The 23,896-nt window shown below is 44.7% G+C and overlaps 1 protein-coding gene across 34 annotated transcripts in view; it reads left to right on the top strand.

The window, feature by feature from the left end:
- NTRK3 (neurotrophic receptor tyrosine kinase 3) overlaps positions 1-23,896 on the top strand; it is a 396,989-nt gene that overhangs the window by 121,276 nt on the left and 251,817 nt on the right. For 24 of the 34 annotated variants that reach the window (XR_001751292.3, XR_001751293.3, NM_002530.4 and 21 more), the window contains 4 exon segments: positions 67-363; positions 6,730-6,753; positions 8,238-8,302; positions 9,091-9,193. Coding sequence is in view for 31 of the 34 variants with exons in the window: in NM_002530.4 (NP_002521.2) it covers positions 67-363; positions 6,730-6,753; positions 8,238-8,302; positions 9,091-9,193 (489 nt within the window). In the remaining 3 variants the exon portion in view is untranslated. 34 annotated transcript variants of the gene reach the window in all.

Genomic DNA, 23,896 nt, shown 5'->3' with positions numbered 1-23,896 from the left:
TGGAAGGCTACTGCAGGAGGTGGTAGACTCTGTGTCCTGGATTTCAGCAGGCTTCTCCCTTGACAGATCCCCCACGTGTGGTGAGCCTGGAGGAGCCTGAGCTGCGCCTGGAGCACTGCATCGAGTTTGTGGTGCGTGGCAACCCCCCACCAACGCTGCACTGGCTGCACAATGGGCAGCCTCTGCGGGAGTCCAAGATCATCCATGTGGAATACTACCAAGAGGGAGAGATTTCCGAGGGCTGCCTGCTCTTCAACAAGCCCACCCACTACAACAATGGCAACTATACCCTCATTGCCAAAAACCCACTGGGCACAGCCAACCAGACCATCAATGGCCACTTCCTCAAGGAGCCCTTTCCAGGTGAGGGCAGCGTAGCTGGATCGGAGGTGTATGGATTCTTTCTACAAGCTTGGGAGATGGGGCATGGTAGCTTGAGAGGAGAAGCAGCATCAGTACTCATACTGTTATCATGGGCAACAAAACACACACTGGAACATGTGCAACCACCAGCCGCATCTGGTATAAACAAGGATAGAGTCTCCATTTTCCAATAGCAGTCATGGTAACCAAGACTTCTTAGAAATAACAGTTGTGCATGTTAGGGCACACTGTATGATAGTAGAGAAAGCAGAGACAGTAATGGTAGAGAATTCTGACCCAGCCCTTTACTTGTGGGGAGACTCTGGGCCTGATAGTTTGCTTTTCTAAGCATCAATTTCCTTTTCTATGAAATAGTCATGATTACACTGCTCCTGTGACTTTTAAATGAGTCAAGGTATATAAAGCACGTCACAGGGTTTGACACCTGATGATGGTTCCGGGATTTCCCATTGCAAAGGACTTGAGAGTGTGTCCAGTTTAACCCTCCATTTAACGGATGAATGACCTGATCCTCATTCTACTTGCTGATCTGTGACAAGGTTTGACTTGGATCTAGGCCCCCAGGTCTGTGGCTTCATTCCTCTCTTGTTCCATGGTGAGCTACTGTGGGTCATACCTGATGCCCTCAGCTTATGATAGTGCTAATGTCAAGTGGACCAGGAAAAATTATTGAAATTACTGAAGAACTTTGCTTGATTTGATTTTGGGAGTTGATTCTGTCTTTCTCTGTCTGGGCTAAGATGCTTTAAATATCTCCCTGAAGTTGGAGGAGAAAAAAACACCAAAAGAGTTTAGTGAAAGTGATTGTAGCATCTTTTTGTGGGTTCCGCAATTGATAAGTTTTGCCCATAAAGCCATGTGTCTTTGCTGAGCTTGGTGCTTCATTTTGGGAAGTGACTAGGAGACCTTTGGTCTTCAATCCCTAGGAATCAGGAGTTCTAATGGGATACAGTGTAAAAACTGATAAGACACATACACACATGCACATGCATGCTCACACACGTGCACAAAGGGAAAAGGCAGAAAGAGCTAGCAGTATGTAGCATCTGTTTTTATGAAGTCAACTTCACAGTCTACAAATTACCAGGGTGTGGCAGCTCCAGGAAGCTTTATTTATGTCAGTGCAAGGGAACTCGTACTGGAGGCCCTGAGAGTAAAGTCGGAGAAATGTGGCTGCATTAAGCTAAATTCTTGCCGTTGAGGTCCCAGGGATGATGGAGCCGTCTTTTCGGAGGCAGTTGAGAATGTGCAGATGTTTGAGGCCCTGGAAATCCCATGTAGTCTGAAACTTCCATCATCCCCAGAATGCTCAGTAAAAGCCCCCATGACACTTCCCCTCCTGGGTCACACTGTGCTCTCTTTCAGCAGGTAGATGAGTCCTGGCCTGCACAGTGGAAGAAGAGGCTTTTAGAGCAGAGATATTTTGCTCTTATGGTCTACAAGGGCAGGCTAGGTCTTGTTGACATAAAAGACTGAAACGTTGCCCTGCCTGTGGCCTGATTAGAGAATAAATTCTGTTTTTAAAGAGGAAAGTCTATACATTGTTGAGGGAAAGTCTTGATTGGTGAGGAAATGAAGCACCCTGAAGCAATGTTTCTGTTTCCAAAGAGAAGCTTCTGGGGCCTAGGGAGGGGGGAACCCTAGAATGCTCAGGAGGGAGGAGAAGACACTCTGGCTCCTTCTGCCAGGGGTATCCTGAGAGGTGTGGGGTAGCAGCAGCAGTTGGATGATGTGGTGGATACAGCTTCTCCGTTCTCTCCTTTGTCTCAGGAGGAAGCAATACTTTGCGTCTTCTCAGCCCTCAGAGCTATCTCAGAGATACCTCCTCTGCCCCCACGAGATGCAGCAGCCCCTTCTGTTAGTCTCTGGATACCCTTGTCACCATAGTCAGTTATCAGTGCTCCTCAGGCCAGTGGTTCTCAAAAGTGACCTTTGGTCCATGGACCAGCCCCATCCACCTCACCTGAGAATGTGTTAAAACTTAAGTTCTCAAGCGCCACTCACATCTACGGAATCAGAGATTCCAGGGTGGGGTCTAGCAGCTATGTTTTAACAAGCCCCCAGGTGACTCCAGTACTCCCTCCTTTGCAATCTACTACCCTGGAATTGAGTGGGAATCTGGCCCCAGGAGGATGGAGGGAGGATAGAGTCACAGAGAAACTCAAAGAGAAAGCACCTCACCTGAGGTCATTTCCTCAGACCCATCTCCATCCTGCTAGGGTCACCCTGTGGGAAGATTTGCTTGTTTTGTGAGTCTAGGTTAAAGGGATCAATGGGTGATGAAAAGGCAGTGACAGGGAAACGATGCCAAGTGACAAGATGCTTAAACGCTCAAGAGAGTCAATTATCTGGGGGTGCAGGAAGAGATGAGTCATAGCCCTCTAAACCGAACTCACCCCAGCTAAGCCTAGATGCAAAGCTGGTCTGTGATTCTTGCTCTTCTCTTTTGATGTGAAAGTGTGGAGACATCGTGATTATCATGTGTGTTTCTCTTTTGCTTCCAGGCAGCTAAGCATGGAGGCTAAGAGCAGGCAGTCTGAAATCAGACAGACTTAGGTGCAGGTCCCATCTGTGGCCCCTCCCAGATAGCCCTCCCATCTGGTGGCCTGGGCTCCTAGCATGGGGCTTAGTGCAAGGCCAGTACTAGATGGAGGACAATCACTTCTCTGTGCCTCTATTTCTGTATCCATGAAATGGGAATGATAATATCTCCCATCTAAGCTACCATGAGACTTAAAGGAAGTTATGCCTGCCAAGTGCATAGCAGTGCGTCTGGACAGAGAAAAGGCTTACTAGCTGTGGGCCATTGTTAAGATTCTTAGGATGTAGAGCTGAGATGAATTCAAGAGTTCTAGAACCAGTAGTCATTTTCTGGTCAACCTAGTAAGTTCTAACAGATAATGTTAAGGTAGTCTAGGCTAGTTGTCATGGAACCACGTTGCCAGGGCTCTGACTCTGACTCAATCACTTGTCAGCTCTGTGACGTCAGGCAAATTGCTTCACCTTCCTGCTTTTACCTTAAAGGTTGTGGTGAAGATTAATTTACAGAAGGGGCGCTTCTTGAAGAGTTATGGTCTGGGACTGTAGGAGACATGTGTATTCCCTTCATGGCACAGCCCCAGTTCATGTCCAGATTGTTCCTTGGTGTGCTGGACAAGCGCTCCTCCCAGCCTGCTGGTGCAGTCAGAGGTGAGGACCAGTCCTGGGTACCATCCTCTTCCAGGCTGAATGCCTGAACCCTCCCACAGGTTAGAGAGGAGTCAGGATGTCTCCTTCTTCCAAAGCTTATGTGCTTTCTGGATGTATAAATGCTTCCAGGCCCTGGCAAAGGCCTTAAACACTCATAGGCTGATTTGGAGATAACAGGGTTCACAGACTTGACCAAAACATTTGGCTAACGTGAGAATATTCTCTAATAAATGGGAGCCTTATGAGACATATGCAAATGAATGTAAACTGCGAATTGATCTGGCACCTCTCTTCTCTCAGGCTCTGAAACCCAGGCTAGAGCTTCCATTTCCTCCATCCTCCCCCTGCCCCAGTCAGGCTTCTGGTCACCTGCTGTTGAGAAGAGGGTGTTGGCACGAAGGGTATGCCCAGGAATGTGAAGATAGTTCTGTGACCATCCCCCAAAACAATACAGAACAGACAACAAACAAGCAACCGAACTGCGTGTACCATAAGTAAGGCTTTCTTTGAAGGACTCCATCACAGAAAGTATCCGATTCCCCACAAGTAGTTAGAGAATATCTGCTGGTTCATACTTAATAGAGCTAAGACTGTGAGGGCCCGCAATGAGTGAATGAATGGGTGAATGAATGAATGAATACACTTTTACTTTTCAGGGCATGGTGGGCTGAGGCAGGAGGCTGTGTAGTATTGATATAGTGCATTCCAAAGGGAACAGCAGCATCAGCGTCTGCTGAAAACTTGTTAGAAATGCAAAATCTTGATACCCACCCCAGGTCTACTGAATTAGAAACTCTAAGGTGAGGACTAGTAATCTGTGTTTCTTTTTAATTTTTAAAGATTTTTAACTTTTCATTTTGAAATAGTTTGGAATTCATATTTTAAAAAGTTACAAAATCATACAAGGCACTTCCTTCCACCCTTTGTCCAGCTTCCCCAGATGTTAACATCTTACCTAACCACGATGCAATGATCGAAACCAGGTTGTTAACATTGGTCCATCACTATTATCTAGTGTACAGATGTGAATTACATTTCATCACTTGTCCCATTGATGCTTTTTCCTTGTCTAGGATCCAATTCAGAATTACACACTGCGTTGAGTTCCTGTGTCATCTCACTCTCTTTAAATCTGGGACAGTTCCCTAGTCTTTGTCTTTCATGATCTTGGAACTTTGCAAGAATACTAGTTTTTTTGTAGACTGTCTTTCCATTTGGAATTTTCTGATTTTTTTCTTAATGATTAATTTCTAGCTATGCATTTTTGGCAGGAACTCTGCAGAAGTGATGCTCTGCCCTCTCAGTGCATCGTTTCGGGGGCGCGTGATGTCGATAGGTTTTGGTACTGGGGGTGTTGACTTTATTACTTGGTCAAGGTGGTGTCTGCCAGGTTTCTCTGCTGCAAACAGATGATTTTCCCCTTTGTAAGAAATCAGTATAATATTTTTAAACTACATAAATAGCTTGTTTCTCATCCTTCTTTCACACTCTAACATTCATTGATGATTCTTGCCTGAAACAATTATTACTGTAATATTTGTGAAATGGTGATTTTTCTATTTTTATCATTCCTTCTACATTTAAAAATCAGAATTCTCTTGTAAGGAAGAGCATTTCATTCTTCCACCTTTTATTTATTGAATTGTTTATTTGTATCAATATGGACTCATGGATATTTATTTTGTTCTATGGCTGGTAATTCATGTATTCGTTTGCTAGGAATGTCACAGCAGTGAAATACCATAGACTGGGTGGCTTAAACAACAGAAATTTATTTCCTCACAATTCTGGAGGCTGGAAGCCTGAGATAAAGGTGTTGGCAGGGATGGTTTCTCCTGAGGCCTGTCTGCTTGGCTTGCAGATGGCAGTGTTCTCTTTGTGTTGTCATGTGATTTTCCCTCTGTGCGTGTGTGTTGACGTTCAAATTTCCTCTTATAAGGACATCAACCATATTTGATTAGGACTCACCCTAATGGCCTTATTTTAACTTTAATACATCTTTAAAGACCTTTTCTCCAGATAGTCACATTCTGAAGTACTAGGGGTTACAGTTTCTGTATATGGATTTTGGGACTACATAATCCTAATCCATAACAATCCAGGACTATCATTGTTTTGTTGCTTAAATGATCCTACATTTGGCTATTGAGATCCCCTGTACATTGGCTCCTGTGCCCTGTCTCCAGGCCTCCATTAATCTTTGAGCACTTTCTTACTTTTTAGTATTACAAGCCATTCCAGGCACATGTTGTACTTTCCCTGGTCCGGCCCTGAAATCATCCATTTCTCCAAGGAATCCTCACTCCTTTTATTGGATGTTGGTAGCAATCACCATCTGGGTGCTTCTGTTGTGTGCTAAAGTTTGAGCATTTCTGGTAGAGTGGGCAAGAGCCTGGACGGAGATTTGAATTCAGCTCTAATTTCTTCTTAAATGAGTGACATCCAATTAGTTACTTAATCTGTATAAGCCTGTTTCCTTATCTGTTAAGTGGGGATAATGCTACCACCTCTTAGAATGGTAATAAGGATTGAGTGATGTGCTACATGAAGCATTTAACACCATCCCTCGCTTATAATCAATGTGCAATAAGGATTAGCTTTCATTATTAGTTGAGCTATTTCTAGAGACCAAAGATCAAATAACATGTTACCATCTGCAGGACGGGCAGATTCTAGAGGGATTCTCAAGAACTTCTCAGTGACCTGCTAGAATCAACTCTGCATATTACTTTGAATAAGTTTATCTTGAGATCATACCTGGCATTTTCAAAGAATGTCTAGGGGAGCCCACCCTGTCGCCCCATTCCCAGCACTTTGGGTCCTTAAGAAAGCAGAGCTGTGAATGAGACAGAGGGTCTAGTTTTAATTCCCTATCATCTCATAATGAACCTGGTTTGGTTTCTCGTTCCTAGATGGGCCACCTCCCTTGAAACCAGGAACTTTATCTCTCATTCCTTCTCCATTTGGAGGACCACCCCCTAAACTGGTAGTGTAGCATGGGGAGACGGGTGATGTGCCATGCATTTTAGTTTGTCAGTTGCCATGAGAACAGGGAATCATGGTGAATGGGAGAGATCATAGCTATTAGGACCAAGTAGTGTGTCTGTTCTGGTTTTTATTAAATTTGTTAATTATCTCTTTGTCCTTTTTTTGCAGAGAGCACGGATAACTTTATCTTGTGTAAGTCTGCTTTACCTGTTGCTTTGAAACTGATTTATTCTGATACTATCGGTAACTATTGAATTCAAATAGCCCTCTCTCCTATTCCACATCATCCCTGGCCCATGGCAGCTGAGGGCATCTGAGTGAACTGTGAAAGGGAAATGAAGGGTAGCAATGCTTTTTAGGCAGTTCCAAGCCCACTTTTCTTGGGTAATCACTCTGTGGTTCACTATCCCCCAGGGAGTTTTCTAATGTCTGATGATGTTGTGGATCTCTTTACCTGGATAAAGAGGGGCTGTGTGAGGATGGACATGGGTTTCATGTGCCTCAATAGACCCCTATTGATCATCTTAGTTGTTCTTGCAGAGAGAATATGGAACCTATAAACCTGCTAGTGTTTCTCACCTGCTTCAGGAGCCTGAGCACTTGGCCAGGACTCGCCTCATGAGAGCTTGACTTACAAGGTTTCCTGATAGGCTCATGTGTCCTCAGAAGGAATTATTGAGGCTCAGTTTATAAGTGATTTGGGGCTAGGGCTAGACAATCCTAAAAGAATTTGGGGTTTTGTTTATGGACTGTAGGGAAACCTGTGTTTATTCCTTTTTCTTTTTTTTCTCCATGGGAGGTGGGAATAATAGCAGCAACTGCTGCCATTTTTGCCTCGTGTCTGGCTTGAGATAATAGGTGCTGTTTAGAAACACCCTCGGCTTTCTGGCACTGATGTCAATATCTGTGATTTCTTTAGTTGTCTTCAGCCTTAGAGGACTTGTAATCTTGCAGAATATTCCTTCAGAGAATTCTGAATTGGGGCCATTTCTTGTCAAGGAGGTGATTCTAGATGGTGGAGTGAGGGGAAAATTGATACTTAGCTTCCCATCCTGGCCTTGCTGGGTAAAGGTGGTGTTTCCCGGTCAGATGGTTCTATTTTTTTAACTTAAGCTGCCCTTGTGTTCTGAAATCAGTGTTAGGGGAATGGATAGTGGGCTGATTGATGGATCCCCAGGCCTCCTGGATCTCACTGAGGAGTAAAGAAGGAAAGAGGGAGGGCACAGGAAAGGCAGGGAGAGGAAAAGGAATGCCTGTGGCAAGGAGTAGCAGAATGTCAGCAACAGCTGCCACCACCAGTAACATTTGCCTAATCCAGACCCTGGCCAGGATCCCAAACCATGTTTCTTTTTTTCTGTTCTATAGCTCATGGCCCAAGTTGCCCAGGTTATGTTATTTTCTCTGGGGTTGGGGCAGGGAATGGGACTGAATGTCCTTTATTCCTATGGAGCCTGTGCTTGAACTGTAACACCAGCCAGATGGTCAGATAGGAACCTGGTCTGTGGGGGTGGGGGGTCCTGCAAAGCCTGGGGAAGGCAGACTGCAAGAGCCTGGCTTTCAGAGGATGTTCTGCAGGGGGAAGTCTCAAGGGAGCTTGGGAGTTGGGCAGGGACTGTGGCTGAGCCTCCCCAGCCGGGAAGCTAACTGTCCTCCTCCTTTTTGTGTTTGGTTTTCAGTTGACGAAGTGAGTCCCACACCTCCTATCACTGTGACCCACAAACCAGAAGAAGACACTTTTGGGGTGAGTCACTTCTTGGTCAAGAGGAGTGTGTTGACTGGCATAGTCATTTTCAGACTTCATTTGTGTTGCTAACTTTTCCAAATATTATCTTACTTGAAACTTTGAAAAAAAAAAGTAATGAATTGAACTACGTTCAGGCAGTTTAAACCTTCCTTGTTGGATGGAAATAGTTCATTGTTTGAGGAAATGTTTGACGATCTGCTCCAAGCCCTAGGGTTCAGAAAATCCCCAGTCTGTTAGGAGCCCAGCTGGGCCTGATTTGCAGGGGCTGCTAACTGTACAAGTTTCCTACAAAAGGCCAAGTTGCTCAAGGCATCTCCTTGGGTGTGTTTTCAAGCGCCCACTCCTACTATTTCAGAGCCTAAGATTACTCTGGGGAGGAGGAGAAAGGATTCTTTTTAGAATCCAGATCTTTTCGACTTTCCTGGATAAGAATGTTATATAAGGAATTTTAACATGAAGATGCAGAATTCACTTGCTAATTAAAACAAAATCAGACGCCTCTCTAGGCTTGTTTTTGCATCTGTTAGAATGGCCCCAGGTGAGAAGGGGCTCAGAACATTGAATCGTGGAACTTTCTCTAATCAAATTGGGTAATTTATATACTTTTAAATGTTCTAAGGGTCTCATATATTTCTTCTTCTAAAGACCTTACTCAGTATTGCAGTTCTGAGAAGGCTACAATTACTATGGCAGTAGGACTGTTCTTATCTGGGCACACACATTATTTTCAAGGAAATTGGGTTTTCTGTGATTGTTGCTGACTCTCTGTTTCTGGTTCCTCACAGGTATCCATAGCAGTTGGACTTGCTGCTTTTGCCTGTGTCCTGTTGGTGGTTCTCTTCGTCATGATCAACAAATATGGTCGACGGTCCAAATTTGGAATGAAGGGTAAGGTGGGAGTTTCATTTTCAAGGGCGTCATGGGGGGAAACATTACTGCTTTTGATCAAAAGATACTGTTTTAATCTCCCATTGCTCTCTGAGAGGGCCTCCGGTCATGGGGTCTAACTGGTACTGATGGAAACTCCTGTTTGCCGCTTGTTCTTGGTAATTATGGATTGAAGGCAGTGTTGGGATCTGTGGGAACCAAACTGTAGATCCACATGGTTTTGCTTTGACTGCTGATAAACATTGCTTAGAAGGGCTTATGCAATGAGGATAATTTGGAAAGGAAGTTGGATTTCAGGGCAAATGAAGACGGACTTTGGTTTATTTTCATTACGGGTGAGTAAAGGGACTCCTAGTTTGAGGACACGGTTTTCCTCTTGTTTTTGAAGTTGTGTTGGGAAGGCGTCAGCACAGCAAGATGTAGGGTAGACTCCGGCATTGAAAAGCTGCCCATGCAATGGGATCTCAGCACGTAGCTCTACACAGAGTCCCAGAGTGGATGCCAAGAGCAACATGATTTCTAAATCTGCTGGCTGGCTTCCATGACATACAGTGCTCCACTCCACTGTGGCAGGGTGGGGTGGTGGGATATGGCTCTTTGCCAAGGCTCGGGTAAGGGGACTGGCATGAAAGGGGTTAACATGGTGAATTAGCATCCACCTGCCTGGTCTCAGAGATGGATGTGACCAAATGGTTCAAGAGAGGCTGGGTACCAGTTCCAAAACAGAAACTTGAATTTCAAGATATACTCCCAGCTGGGGTTTCCATGTTTGGCGATGTTGGGTGGGGGTGGGTAGGGAGGCATGATACGAGGTTTGATAAGTTATCAGTTTGCTGAGCCAGGACTCAGGTTGGTGTTATCTGGTGAGACTATGGGATGTGTAGAGAGATGAATTTCTATGGATTCTCTGCATGAGCTTGTGTCTGTGGTTGGGGACCTTGGGGCTTAGGGACTGAAGAAGAGTACATGAATGGCATTCACAGGGACGGTGATCCTCTGAGTTGTATGCAAATGTTGGAGTGTTTGCGCATGGAACCGAACTAGTCCATAGCTTTCGCTATATTCTCAGAAACCTCTGTAACTCCTTGAAAATTCAGAACACTGATATATAGGGAAATACCCAGAGAGGATTAGAAGGGTAGAAAACCCTGTAAACCCAGCTACTCAGGAGGCTGAGGTGGGAAGATTGATTGAGCACAGGAGGTCAAGGCTGCAGTGAGCTGTCATCACACCACTGCATTCCGGTCTGGGCAACAAAGAAAGACCCTGTCTCAAAAACAAACAACAAACAAAAAATGGGTACAGGGTGCCCTGTTTCCAGAAGATTTCTGCCTTTGCACTCTCTGCTCTTGATGAACCTGATCAACTCACAGCAAAGCAAGCTAGTTTTTCTTAAGTCATCTGAGATATTTTGACCAAGAGAAAGACATGTGCAGGCAAATTATAAAGGTGGATGGAAGTTTGGCTGGAATCCAGATGACTTAAACAAAATCAGACCACTTTTAGGCACCTAGATTGGAGATGTCTTATCTGCAAACACAACATGCCAAACAAGGCTTTCTAGATCTAGAAGATGAGACGACCACTGAGTGAGCGCACAGCTTTCAATCTTTGGATAATTCTTGGGCTCCTGGTTTTGAGGACTGGCACTATTATTGCCTGTGCAAAGTTTTCCTACCATGCAGGGAGCTTTTATAGCTCTTCCTCCTTCCACCTGAGAAAACATCAGGGCCTTGACCAAAGGGAAGAATGGGGCATTGTTGCTCTTCCCCTGAGGAGGCGCACCACCAGCTGAGACCCTGCGACATGCTTGGCAGTGCTGTAAGAGCAGATTTTTCCTATTAATTGTCATCCTGTTTCTGGAACAGCATGTCCCCATGTCGGATGGATTAGGCAGCACCCAGGGTGGTTCCTCCCCTCAGCTGTCCTCAGAGCTTCTCCCAGCCCCTGCTCCCCTCTCCCAGGCAGACCTTCCTTTCTTGGCCCTGGTTGGGTCAGGAGAACATGTCCACGTAGGTGGAAGTGAAATATCCTCTATTGTAAAGTCGGGCAACTTAAAGTAAGTTATACTGGAGTTATAGGCAAGATGAGATGGTGTATCTAAGACTCACCTTGTTTAGAATTAAGCCTGAATCTCTTTCATCTTTATGAAGCCAGATTATGTTTGGGTCTCACTTTAGGATAAATAAGTGCAAAACAAAAATAAAATTCTAAGCCCCCCAACCATCCGAATGCATCCCTCTTCTCAACAAGGGCATCCCAAAGTTAACCTGAAAAACTAGTTCAGACCATGATGGGAAGCAGGGAGCCATACATGCCTCATTAAACCCTCCTTCTTTTTGGAATTACTGATAGAATAGACTCGTTAAGTCTGATGAGAAACATTTGCAATCTATTCTGTCTGATGCCTGCTACCTGGAGGCTTCATCTGCATCATAAAACCTTGGTCTCCATAACCTCTTATTGAACCTTCCTATTGAAAATAACTCTTTCAACCAATTGCCAATCAGAAAATCTTTGAATATGCCTATGACTTGGAAGCCCCTGCTTCCAGTTGTCCTGCCTTTCTGGTCGGAACTAATGTACATCTTACATGTATTGATTGATGCCTTATGTCTCCCTAAACTGCATAAAACCAAGTTGTGGCCCAGCCACCTTAGGCACATGTTCTAAGGATCTCCTGAGGGCTGTGTCACAGGCCATTGGTCACTCATATTTGGCTCGGAATAAATCTCTTCAATTATTTTACCGAGTTTGACTCTTTTCTTTGACATAAGCAAATGCCTCAAGCTGCATTAACCTTTGATCTTTTATTGCCAGCGAGCATCACAGTCTTGGATAAAGAGTGATGACACCGGTACCAGAAGTTCCCTACCTTTTACTTAGGGAAAGCCTTGTCTCTTCACATCCACCCCAGTCTCAGTTTTGAATTTTCAAGTCTGGGTGAGAATGTACGATACCACTTAATTGCTCATTGGCTTCAGCAAAGTTACTACCTTCTCAGTGCCTCTGTTTCCTCAACTCCAGAATGGTAATAATACTACCTCCCTCACTGGGTTGCTGTGAGTGTCAAGATCTATGTGTAACTGGCATATAAAAAGGCTCCATGGGAACATTTCTCCCTTCTTTTCTTTATGTATAAACCTTCATAGGTTCCTTTTATTGCCTTCCAAAAAGGGCTGCCCATCCAAGACGCAATCATGCCCTCTTTTGTCCTGCACAATATTTAGTAAAATGCCTTTATTATACGCTAATCCCAGTACATTGTCATTTCTTTGCTGGTAGACCATATGTCTGTCCTACTTGACCAGGAGCGACCTATGGCAGAAATCACAGATCACTCAGCCTAGTATGCCTGAAAACACCACGCAACATTTGACAATTGCTTGTTGAATTTAGAAATGAATGACTTTAATTTTAATAATAAAAAAAGTACAGCTTATAAATTAACAATGGGCTAGTTAGAGTTAATTGGGAGATCTGAGATGTCTGGGCAGTGGGAAGTAGAGAGATGATGATAGGGAAAACTCATAAACAATTCCCCATCCACATCTGAGGGCCAGGTGTATCGATAGGGAGGGCCTACTAATAGGAGCTTTACTTCCTTCTGAGAAATAAAAAAAATACAGAAAAAGACAAAGATTAATATAACAAACACCCATATTCCCTCCACCTAGAATAAATGACTTACTGTTTTGTCTTATATTTGCATTTACTGCTTTAGTTTGGGAAGATATAAAATATGACTAAAACTAAAACCCCTTTAGTCATCCCCCTGGTCCTATTCCCATCCCCATCTCCATAGGCAGCCACTAGCCTAAGTTCAGCATCCTCCAGTTCACTGACTGAAGCTTCTTTCCCTGTATCTCTGTCTCTGTGTGTCTCTGTCAGCTGTCTCTCCCCTCATGGCTGTCTCCCAGATAAACTCACACCTCCCAGACTGCCAAATTAGCAACCACCTCTACTACATGAAAGATGAGTGGCTAAGGCTGGTAAACAGTTCATTTTCATACTTCTACCTATATGTATATGTACACATATATGCATATGTCTCTGTATATCCATATGTAGACACACAGACATGCATATATATCAGTATACTTACAAAATGCATTACTCTGTGAGTGTTTTAATTTATATTCATGCTTATACTCTGAGTAACTTGCATCTTGCTTTATTTCCTTGTCATATGTTGGAGATCTCTCTCTGTCGGTATGTGTAGGAATTCCAATGGGTGCCCATTTTATGGGAGATGAATATATTAACCAGATCTCCTAGAAACAAACCGAACATGCTTTGTCTCAGAGCCCTCCAACTGCCATGTTGATCAAAATTTTGGCTTGGGGAAGGGGTCACCTTGGGACACAAGCTCATCTTCTTTTGGAATCACAAAGGTTTTAAGATGGTGCTAAGTGTACAGTGGGGGTTTCTTTTTGCTATTGATGAAGTCTAATGCTTCAGAGTGGCAGGGGTGATTTGTGAAGTATTTGGCATGTCCTGGGCACTGCCCTATCAGCCAGCCCTCCTGCTGGAGCAGGGCCCTGGAGGTCCCCACTGTGCTAGACATTAACTCTTTGATTGTCAGATCATGGGGTGGCCAGGGTGGTTGGGAGGTGTGTACTTGTGGGGTTCAGGGCATGGGCTATTTACTGCAGCTACAGAAACATATAAAAATATTTCAGCATTTTAACAACTAACTAGAGTGTACCCTTGCATCCTGGGCCTGGAAGTGAGATGGTTCAGAATTTAGGACAAATTCATTCTCATAAAATATTGTTAAATTAGGCATTAAAAGATCATGACAGTGATCTGGCTGGGCTCTCCTGTATCCGTATTTCCAGGTGAAGAAACCGAGGCCCAGACAAGGAAGTGACTTGCTTTGGTTTGGCTGAGTTTTAGCTCCAACCTCTTTCCACAGCAACACAAATGCCCTGACTCCTTTGTCTTGGCTGCACACTGTCCACATCCATAGTGCACCATCATCATTTCACGTCGTCATTAGAACAATAACCAGGCAATAGGTGTTAGTGTGTCTGAACAATAATAAAACTTGCTCTGTAGTTTTCATATAAGGTGAGCATCAAAATTATTTAATAGAAAGTATAAGGTGAGCATCATAATTATTTAATAGAAAAAGAAGCAAGTGTGTGGATCTTTTGCAGTCTGTAAAAAAAATACATACATTATTTGGCCTCTTTTCCTCTTGACCACCTCATAAGTATCTTTAAATACTTCTAGATCAGAGATACTGTGAGAATTACTTCATACTTCTTGGCTTCCTCTTACTCCCATGAAGAAAACAGAATAATAGTTTATCAGAGCTGAAACAGACCTTAGGCTTATTAGGCTAATGTGCCCATTGTACAGCTAAGGAAACTGAGACCCAGAGAGATGCAGTGATGTGCCAGAGCACACAGCTAGCGAGAGCCTTCTGGCCCTGCTTTTCCACATACTTGACTTGTGCAGAGAACCTGGGAGGGTCAGGGAAATGAAGCTGGATTATGAATACATCAGCTCAATCCCTCCAAGGCTCTGATTAATTAACTTTGAATGCTGTGCCACTTAAATGGGGCTTTCGAAAATTCTCTTATTAATCCACTTTTTCCAACCTGGGGCACTCCTGGCCTTGGGGAAAGATAGGAGCTGATGGAGGAGTAGGCTCCAAGAACTTCCTTCATTTATTTTCAGACATGCTAGAGACTGCACGCGTGGCAGGACAGCGGAAGTGGGAAGGCCGGGAAGGAAGGGCATCAAGAACTGCTGCTTGGGCTTCCGGCAATGCCTTAAGTGCCTCATCAGCAACCACTTGCCTTTCTTCCTAATGGCTGGATGTGTGCTGGTGCCTCTGATGGGCCTGCGGATGAGCACTTGCAGGACTGTTCCATTGTAAATTAGCGTTAGTTAATAGGTACTTAAAGTAAAGTGGTTGCCTATTTGATTATGATTGGGGGTTATTAACATTTTTTTCCATAAACAGATGGTAACTGTCCTCTGAGTGGATTGTAGAATCCTGCCAGAGTCTTGATTTGGAGGGACTGGCTCCTGCCAAAAGATCTCAGGGGCTGCTGCCACATTGAACATTCTTGTTATCCTTCTGGTTTCACCGGTTGTCTAAGGGAATGATTAGAGTTGGGAAGGAGTCATTTCTGCCTTCTCTCCTAACCTTGGGGCATTGGACTGAGAAGGGTTTCTTCCAGGTGGAGGGAGGTAGGGGTGGGAGGGATCTAGGACTCCTGAGTTTTGATGCTGTAGGTTGGCATTTCTTTCTCAGCTGGAACAGAGTGTCCCTATGTCTTAGCCATGTGTGCAGAGCAGGGGAATTGGTACTGGAAGTGTGGTGTGTGATAGGAGATATCCGAGGTGACTGAAAGGGGGCTGGGACCATGGATGAAAGCACTATTGGTATTGTTGAGTAAAATAGTTTCTTTCACCCTGCACAATACACTTATTTGACTACATTTAGCAGGGGGTCGGGAACCAAGAGCAGTGCAAGGCGGAAATGAAACTGGGTAAAGGAATTGGGTTTCCTGGCTTCCCAAGATGTGTCCATTCTTTGCTCCTCCTCGTTTTCTTCCTTCTTGACTTCTTTTTCTATTTCCTCCTCTGAATTGACATGTGCAAGGGAGGAGGGTACCTTTGGCCCTTGCCATGATCCTGTACTTGGGATTCCTGGTGTAAGATGACTCTTTGAACATAATGTTGAGAGTGGTTTCTGGCTTCTTTCCTGTGTTGTGATCCCAGGGTCCTCGTATTCTCCTAACAAATGTTTGCATGCCCTCCCTCTCTTTTCTGACATTTGACAGACCTTCCAACCACCCCGCTTCCTCAAAAATGCCTAGTATTTGACAAATTCTAAATTAAAGAGGTTAGGTTTGTAGCAGATCCACAGGCAGGACATAAATTTATAGAAGCCAGGGGTCTTCTGCGTCTCCTTCTCTGCTTTGAACTTCAATGGGAGGCTCTGACTGCAGACAAAGGCCCACCCCACTTGATGACTGAGTTCTAGAATGTGGTGCTTGGAGCTTTGAGAAGGCTGTAAAGCCATGTGTGTTTTTCTGGCATGCTTTTGCTGCCCTGTCCTTTGTGGGAGCTTTGCAGGGGTGCAGTGAATCATCATAGAAGTCCCTACACGGTCACCATTGGTCGTGTGGAGGCTGAACTTGCTCTGAAGACTCCAGGGAACCAACTGTTCCCTTGCATCGACTCTCCTATTCAAAGGGAATTCCCTTGAAATAGAGGCTGATGCAAAATATTTTTCCTCTGTGGCTACCTGCTAGCTGGCTCTTCTTGGCAGGCCTCTCTATCCTGTTCAGCAGGGCCAAGGATGACCACTATGCTTGGCTCTATAGCCGAAGTGATGGCATCTCAGATTCATTGAGTGTTGGCAGCAGAGCACAGTGCTTACTGACTCGTGTTGTTGCAAATGGCTCCCACAGGGTTAACAGCCCCGCGATACCTTACCCAGTTTAGACATTCTGCACCTCTTGTCCCTTGCTACTCATGTGACAGGTGAGATCACATGCCTTATGCCCTACTGTGGATGTCACCGGGCTTTCCCAAAAGTGCTGGCTCTCACAGTAATTTTACACCTTAGGAAACTATAACAGAAGATGAGTTAGTAAATGAGATTTTAAAAGCTAAGAATAATAGTAAATTCAAACTGATTTTTGGCTTTTAAAAAGTCACAAACTTTAGTAATTTATTTTTCACCAAAAATCATGGTGACATACTTCCTCACTGATCCAGTTATCCTACAGTATCATGGTACAGGATGGAAAACCAAGAGGGGCTGGGGTTGCCAGCTTTGACTTTCTAGCATCCTTCTTTGTTCCAAATGTTTTTTACCCCCTGTAAAGTCAAGTTGTGGAAACTGCTCCAACAGACCCCCTCCTCTCTTCTCATGGAACATTCTTTCTCTCTCTGCATATTCTCCTCTGGGTCTTGGAAGCTTTCACTTGCGCGGAAGAGGCATGATGATAGGCTTTGGCTAATGAGAAGCTGTCATGTGGCTGCAGTACCCAAGACCCGCGTTTATGCAGCTCATTCTCCTGTGAACTCTGCAGAGGGCTTTAGGATGGCCAAAGAGCAGCCCTGGAAACCAAAGACAGCAAAACAGAGAGATCAAAACAACTGCTAACCAGAAAACATGTTTTTGGACTAGGGAAGAAAAACCACATGCTGAAAACAGCAGCCACCAAGCCAACGGCTGCAAATCCCCGGCCCCAGCTCCTTGACACCCACTGCCCTTTGTGCTGTGGTTCCTCATGGAGGATAAGCTGGGCAGGGGAGTAGAGAGGAGTGCACTGCAGGTGGAGGAATAGCATCCTTCAGCCAGCTGTGCTTCCAGCAAGCAGGTGTGTCTGCCACCTGTTCCAGGGAAGGAAGCAGAAGCCTGAGGCTGGTCTATCTCTGGCCCTTGCACTCAGAAGGGTTAATAACACTCCCTGTCTCTCTTCCTCACTATCCCAGCATACTTAGAGAGAGACCAACCAAGTAACTCTGGTGCCTGCTTCTTTATTGTTTTCTCTTGGATGAACTCTGTTACCACAAGCCAGAGGGAAACATGCTGCTGGCTTCCTCCCTAATGGGATCGGCTACCTAATTTGTGTGGCCCAGTGAAAAATGTTCAAAAAAGATTAGAATTTCCAGACAGCTACAGCACAGCATTAAATTCCAAGCTAAGGTTCTTTTGAGCACAGAGTCAGGTCACAGGTCCACGAAGCTAGCTCTGCTTCCTGAATACAAAATCCATCATGGCTTAAGATCCTAGCTCCTTTGTCTATCCTGAATGGTGATGAAACAGGTATTTCTGTACTTCCTTTTAGAGAGAAGCTGGGATTTGGGCGAAAGACAAGAATATCAGTTGGTTTTTCACTTCTAATCATAGTAGGGGAAGAGAGTGACAGGCATCAAACATTCATTGAGTACCTACTGTGTGCCAGACATCTAATATATCTTCAAATATAGAGACTTCATAGGTGGCTATTATTCCCACTTTAAAGATGAGAAAACTGCTCAGAATGGTTAAATCACTCAAGGTCATGTACCTGGTAAGTATCAAAACTAGATTTTAAATGAGTTTATTCTAAATTGTTGGTTCTCAATCTTAGCTGCACATTCTAAACATCTGATAAGATTATATAACTTCCCAAACCTAGGCCACACTCCAGGTCACTTAATTCAGGGGTGGGTGTTCTTTTTTACTTCCTCTGGTGATTTCTATGTGCAGCTAAGGTTGAGGAACAATGGTCTCAATCCAATAGACGTCCGCATATTTCACTGGCTCTCCAAGTCATTTATGTAGTCTGCAGACCAGCTCATCTGATAATGCTGGGAGCTTGTTCGATGTGCAGTTGCCTAGGGTTTACCCCATACCCACTGAATCAAACTTGGGGTGATTGGGGTACAAGCAATTTCTCTGAGTGATCCTGAATGATTGCTGGGGTTTAGGAACCACCATCCTATATCTGTAGAGAGACAATGGCTGATAACATGAACGGTACTTCTCAAACTTGAACATGCAAGTGAATATTGGAAGATTCTGGGGATCTTGTTAAAAATGTGGATTCTGGTTCAATAGGTCTGGGGAAGGCTGCGAGTCAACATTTGTTACAAGGTCCCAGACAATGCTGCTCTGTGGACCATGCTTTAAGTAATAAGGGGTAAAGTTACTGGTAAATACTTCAGGCCTGCGACCTGGGAACTTAGATCACCTCTCTGCTTTTTGTTTTTTCCTGAGTGCCAGTTGCAAAATGAACCTACCTCAAAGGTCTATAGGCTGGGATTTTGTGACTATAAGATTACAAACTATAACCACCATTTTTTTTTTTTTAAATTTTTGTACTTTTAGTAGATACGGGGTTTCACCATGTTGGCCAGGCTGATCTCGAACTCCTGACCTGAGGTGATGCACCCATCTGGGCCTCCCAAAGTGCTGGGATTATAGGCATGAGCCACCACACCGGGCCTCTATAACCACTACTTGTAAGGCATTTCAGTTCTATCCTCTTTGGGTAAATATGCCTCTCTTCTTTCCTAAAACTGTTTCTATAGTGGCTTCCTTGGTTCGAAACCAAACTGCCACCTCTTTCCACATGACGGGACTTGTAAGGTCTGCTGCCCCAGTTGATTTCAGTAAACTGTCAGGTCAATCAACACTGTTGCCCCCACTGAAGGAGTCTGGGCAGAAGCTCAGAGAGGCTAGCAGGCAGTGGGTAGCCAGCATTCCCAGCTCAGAGCTCCTTGAGCTGCTGTGACAGTCATTCCTCTCTTTCCTTAGAAACTTCTTTATCCTGTTTGCTCTCCCTCCCACCCCTGATCTGGAATGAAATGTTGAGGGCTATAAAAAACCGGAAAAGCTTGTGCTGGCAGGCCCCGGAGTGGCTCGGAGTGGGTCTGTCGGTGGGCGGAGGAAGCCCCATGGGTTAAGTTGGTGGGCTGCCCGGGCTGCCCGCCGGCCTCAGAGACACTGCCCTAGGTGGTGGCTGGAATCCCATTCTTCCCAGTCTTGCTGCTCTGGCGGTTGGTATTCACACTGAAAGCCTGCCCTGCCCTCCAATTTACTGCAGAATAAGAGTTGCATAGTTGGCAGAAGACCAGAGCAGTTTCCAGGACTGATAAGTCCTGGAAATGCCGAGCCTCTCTACCTGACAGGCATCTTGAATTCAAAGGGGCCTCTGTGCTGGAGCAGCCCTGCAAACCTGTTCCCAGGCAGGGGCAGAAGAATGCCAGCATCTGTCTATCTGCCAGCAGGCCTTGACATGAAGCCCCAAGGAGGGCGTCCGGGTGGTTCCAGGAACTGCCTTTCAAAAGTGAATCCTTCCAAATAAATGGAGTTCAGTGGGTTAGCCTTGGACCAGTTGAAGGAGGTGCAGAGGGGCACCCTGTTGTTGGCCTGGGCTCTAGGGGAAGCAGGCAGGATTTGAGTACTGTTATGAGCCATTATGTGTGAAAATGGCTGCCATAGCACCAGCCCGCTGCTTTGTGCCTGCTTTGCAAGGGGCATGCCAACCTGAGGGAGCTGTGTGTGCTGCTTGCTGCCTTCTGAGGAGAAGCGCTATCAGAAATCAGGGGCCATCCAAGAGCTTGGGAAAATGGACACTGTTTGCTGTTGCCCAGTGTGTAGAATGGGGTAGCCTTTCTGGAAAGTGGCTTGACAATATTTATTAAAAACCTAAAATCACAAAAGCCCATGCCTACTGACTCCACTTCTGAGAATTTAACCTAAGGTAATACTCACAAATGGCTATCTGTATTTGTGGATATGGGTATTTATCCCAGTGTGACTTACAGAGTAAACTTGATAAATAAATAATTACTTACAGATCTAACAATAAATGACTAGTTAAATATTAATACATTATGGTCCATATATATGATAAATACAATGCAGACCTTAAAAATGACAACTTTTAAAAGTAGGTATTTAATGTTTCTGAAAGGATACATATGCAAATGGTAAGAAAACCTAATAGTATAAAAGATAATGGAGTAAAAATGTTAGTTTCAGTCCCTTCCTAATTTCCTGCCACTGGGATAACCATTACTTAGAGGTTCTTGCATATCCTTTCAGAGATAGTCAAGGCTTATGCAAGGATATGTTTCCCTGTTGCCTTTGCACAAATGCAAGCTTGTATTCACATTGTTCTGTGCCACATTATTTCTGCTAACAGCCTGTCTTTGAGATGAGTTAGTATCAGTTCATAGAGATCTACTGCATTCTATTTTTATAGTTGCATACCAAGAATGATATTTTAGCAATATGTATTGACATGTGAACATGTTTACAATATATTTCCAAGTGAGAAAAGACTCCAAGCAGTTTCTCTAATGCCATTTTTTTTTGTTGTTGTAAAATAAAGAGAAAATATTTTTATACACATACCTAGGAAAAATACTAGGATCATATGGAATTATAAGTCAGAATGTAAACAGTAGTTATCTTTGGGTGGTGGGATTTGGGATTTTTTTAATTTCATCTTTTTTGATGTCTTCTGAGGTTTCTGTATTGAACCTTAAAAACAAAGCAAAGCAGATGTGAGACCCATGAGGACAGGGGAGCTGTTCCTCCCTCAGTGGATCCAGAGGCTGACTCATTCCCCCACCCAGGATCCATCTGCCCCTTTGTGGTGAAAGCCACGGCTCTGGTGTCACTTAGGATTGCTGACTGCACAGAGCAGGATTCCCATAATGTTGCCTCATGCCACATGCTTGACAGTCATTGATGGTGGTGTGTGTGTGTGGTTGTTGTTGGTGGTGGGGGGGGTACTGATTAAAGTGCAGATTCCTGGGTCACATCTACTGAATCTCATACCTTGATAGTAGGCCCTGGGAATTTGCATTCTTAAAAAACAGGCTGGGTGGTCATACTGCCATTAAAGTTTGAGAAACTATTGTGTAGATCAGGAATTTGCCAACTTTTTCATAAAAGAGCAGAGAGTAAATATTTTAGACTTTGCTGGCCATATGGTTTCTGTTGCAATCACTCAAGGCTGCTGTTGTAGCATGAAAACAATCATAGCCAATATGTAAATGAATGAGCATGGCTGTGTTCCAATAAAACTTTATTTATAAAAAACAGGTGCCAGGCCAGATTTGGCCTGCAGGCCATAGTTTCAGACCCCATAGTTTCATGTTACCCTTAAAAAAAAAGTTAGACCAGCTGTGGTGGCTCATGCCTATAATCCCAGCACTTTGGGAGGCTGAGGCGGCTGGATCACCTGAGGTCAAGAGTTTGAGACCAGCCTGGCCAACATGGCGAAACTCCATCTCTACTAAAAATATAAAAATTAGCCGGGCGTGGTCGTGTGCACCTTTAATCCCAGCTACTCAGGAGGCTGAGGCAGGAGAATCACTTGAACCCAGGAGGCAGAGGTTGCAGTGAGCCAAGATCACGCCACTGCACTCCAGCCTGGGCAATGGAGTGAGACTCTGTCTCAAAAAAAAAAAAAAAAAAAAAAGAAATTGATCAGCAGGTGGGGGAGTCTACCAAGAGCTCCTTCTATTTGAAGAAGCAGGTCATAATATTAATAGCTACAATTAATTAAGTGATTATTATAAGCCTGGCAGTTTCCAGACAAAACCTACACCTTAATACAGCCCTGCATAGTAGCTATACCAACAAGGCCATTGAAAGAACAAAGTGATTAGCCCAAGCTTACATGATCAGTAATGACTGGGTTGGTCTGAATGCAGACTTGGGGAAGAAAGCGGTAATGCCACAGTTCTGTTACTTTCTGGTCTTTGGGAAAGAATGATTTCAAAATCTCTTCCCAGGGCATCGGGCACACACAGGTCCCTCTAAGCCCCCAGCCTAAGGAGGAATAGCCACAGCCACGCACTTGGTGGTGGTGCAGATCCTGGGGTAACTCTGTACCTCCCGGATGCCTCGAATAATTGGGGTTGTGAGTGGTGTGGGGTCTTCCAGGTGCATTGGACAATGCTCAGGTTGATGTGGCTCCGTTCACTTTCTTGAAGCGGGGGAGAGTGCTGTTGCTATAGAAATAGCTCAGGTCACTGTGCTGGACCTTTCTGAACCCTGCTGCTCAGAGTCTCCCATCACTGGGACCAAGAGCCCTTAGAGCCAGGCTCCTGACAGGAGACTTTTTTGTGTCCCTGCTCCAGTGACCATGCAAGTTTCCACATGGCCAGTGTTAAACATTCACCCTGCTTAAAGCCCATGGAGATAGGTTAGTGCCCTACTTGTCTGCAGACAGGGCTGGCCAAGAGAGACTGGCAGTGGCAGGCAGAAGGCAGTCCCTCGCTTCCTTCTGTCTTCTCCCCACCCCAGCCTTCCTGACCTTCAACCACATCCCGACTCTAGGGCAAAGAAAAACCCTCTGGGCTGAATTCAGCCTCTGGGGCTCATGGTTCAGCTTGATGGCTTTGCCAGGTAGCAACATGGGTGATGCTAGTCCCCTGTGAGGTAACTGTTATAAAGATACTAGTGTTTTACATTTATAGACAGCCCAGTTTGCCTTGACATGTTGGTTTATTACATAAAATCTTGAAGGCTTGGGCTGCTCATTGGATTAACTGAAATAATGGACATAAAACAGAAACCAGAGGCTGAGCATGGTGGCTCACGCCTGTAATCCTAGCACTTTGGGAGGCCAAGGCGGGCGGATCACGAGGTCAGGAGATCAAGACCATCCTGGCTAACATTGTGAAACCCTGTCTCTACTAAAAATACAAAAAATTAGCTGGGCGTGGTGGCGGGTGCCTGTAGTCCCAGCTACTCAGGAGGCTGAGGCAGGAGAATGGCGTGTACCTTGGAGGCGGAGCTTGCAGTGAGCCGAGATCGTGCCACTGCACTCCAGCCTGGGTGACAGAGTGAGACTCTGTCTGTCTCAAAAAAAAAAAACAAAAACAAAAAAAAAACCAGAAACCAGAACTTGGAATCCAGAACCCAGAACACACTGCTCAACCAAATAGTAGCAAATTGTATCATTGTTACCATCCATATTATGACAATCAGTAGTCCACACAGCAGCCCCTTTAAATCGATATTATCATTCTGTTTTTCACACATGAGAAAACTGAGATTCACAGACCCTGCTAGAGTTCTAAGGAGGGTCACAGGTTTGTCTGGCTTCCAAGCCACATGCTCTTAGTCACTATCATACATTTTAAAGTCAGAATATAAGGAGACCTAGGGCTGCTGGGAACCTTAGGGAGTCCCCATCCCAGGGACCTGCAGAAAGC

This window comes from Homo sapiens, chromosome 15 (genome assembly GCF_000001405.40).
Source record: "Homo sapiens chromosome 15, GRCh38.p14 Primary Assembly".
Taxonomy (NCBI): Eukaryota; Metazoa; Chordata; class Mammalia; order Primates; family Hominidae; genus Homo; species Homo sapiens.
This window is presented reverse-complemented; position numbering and strand designations above follow the sequence as displayed.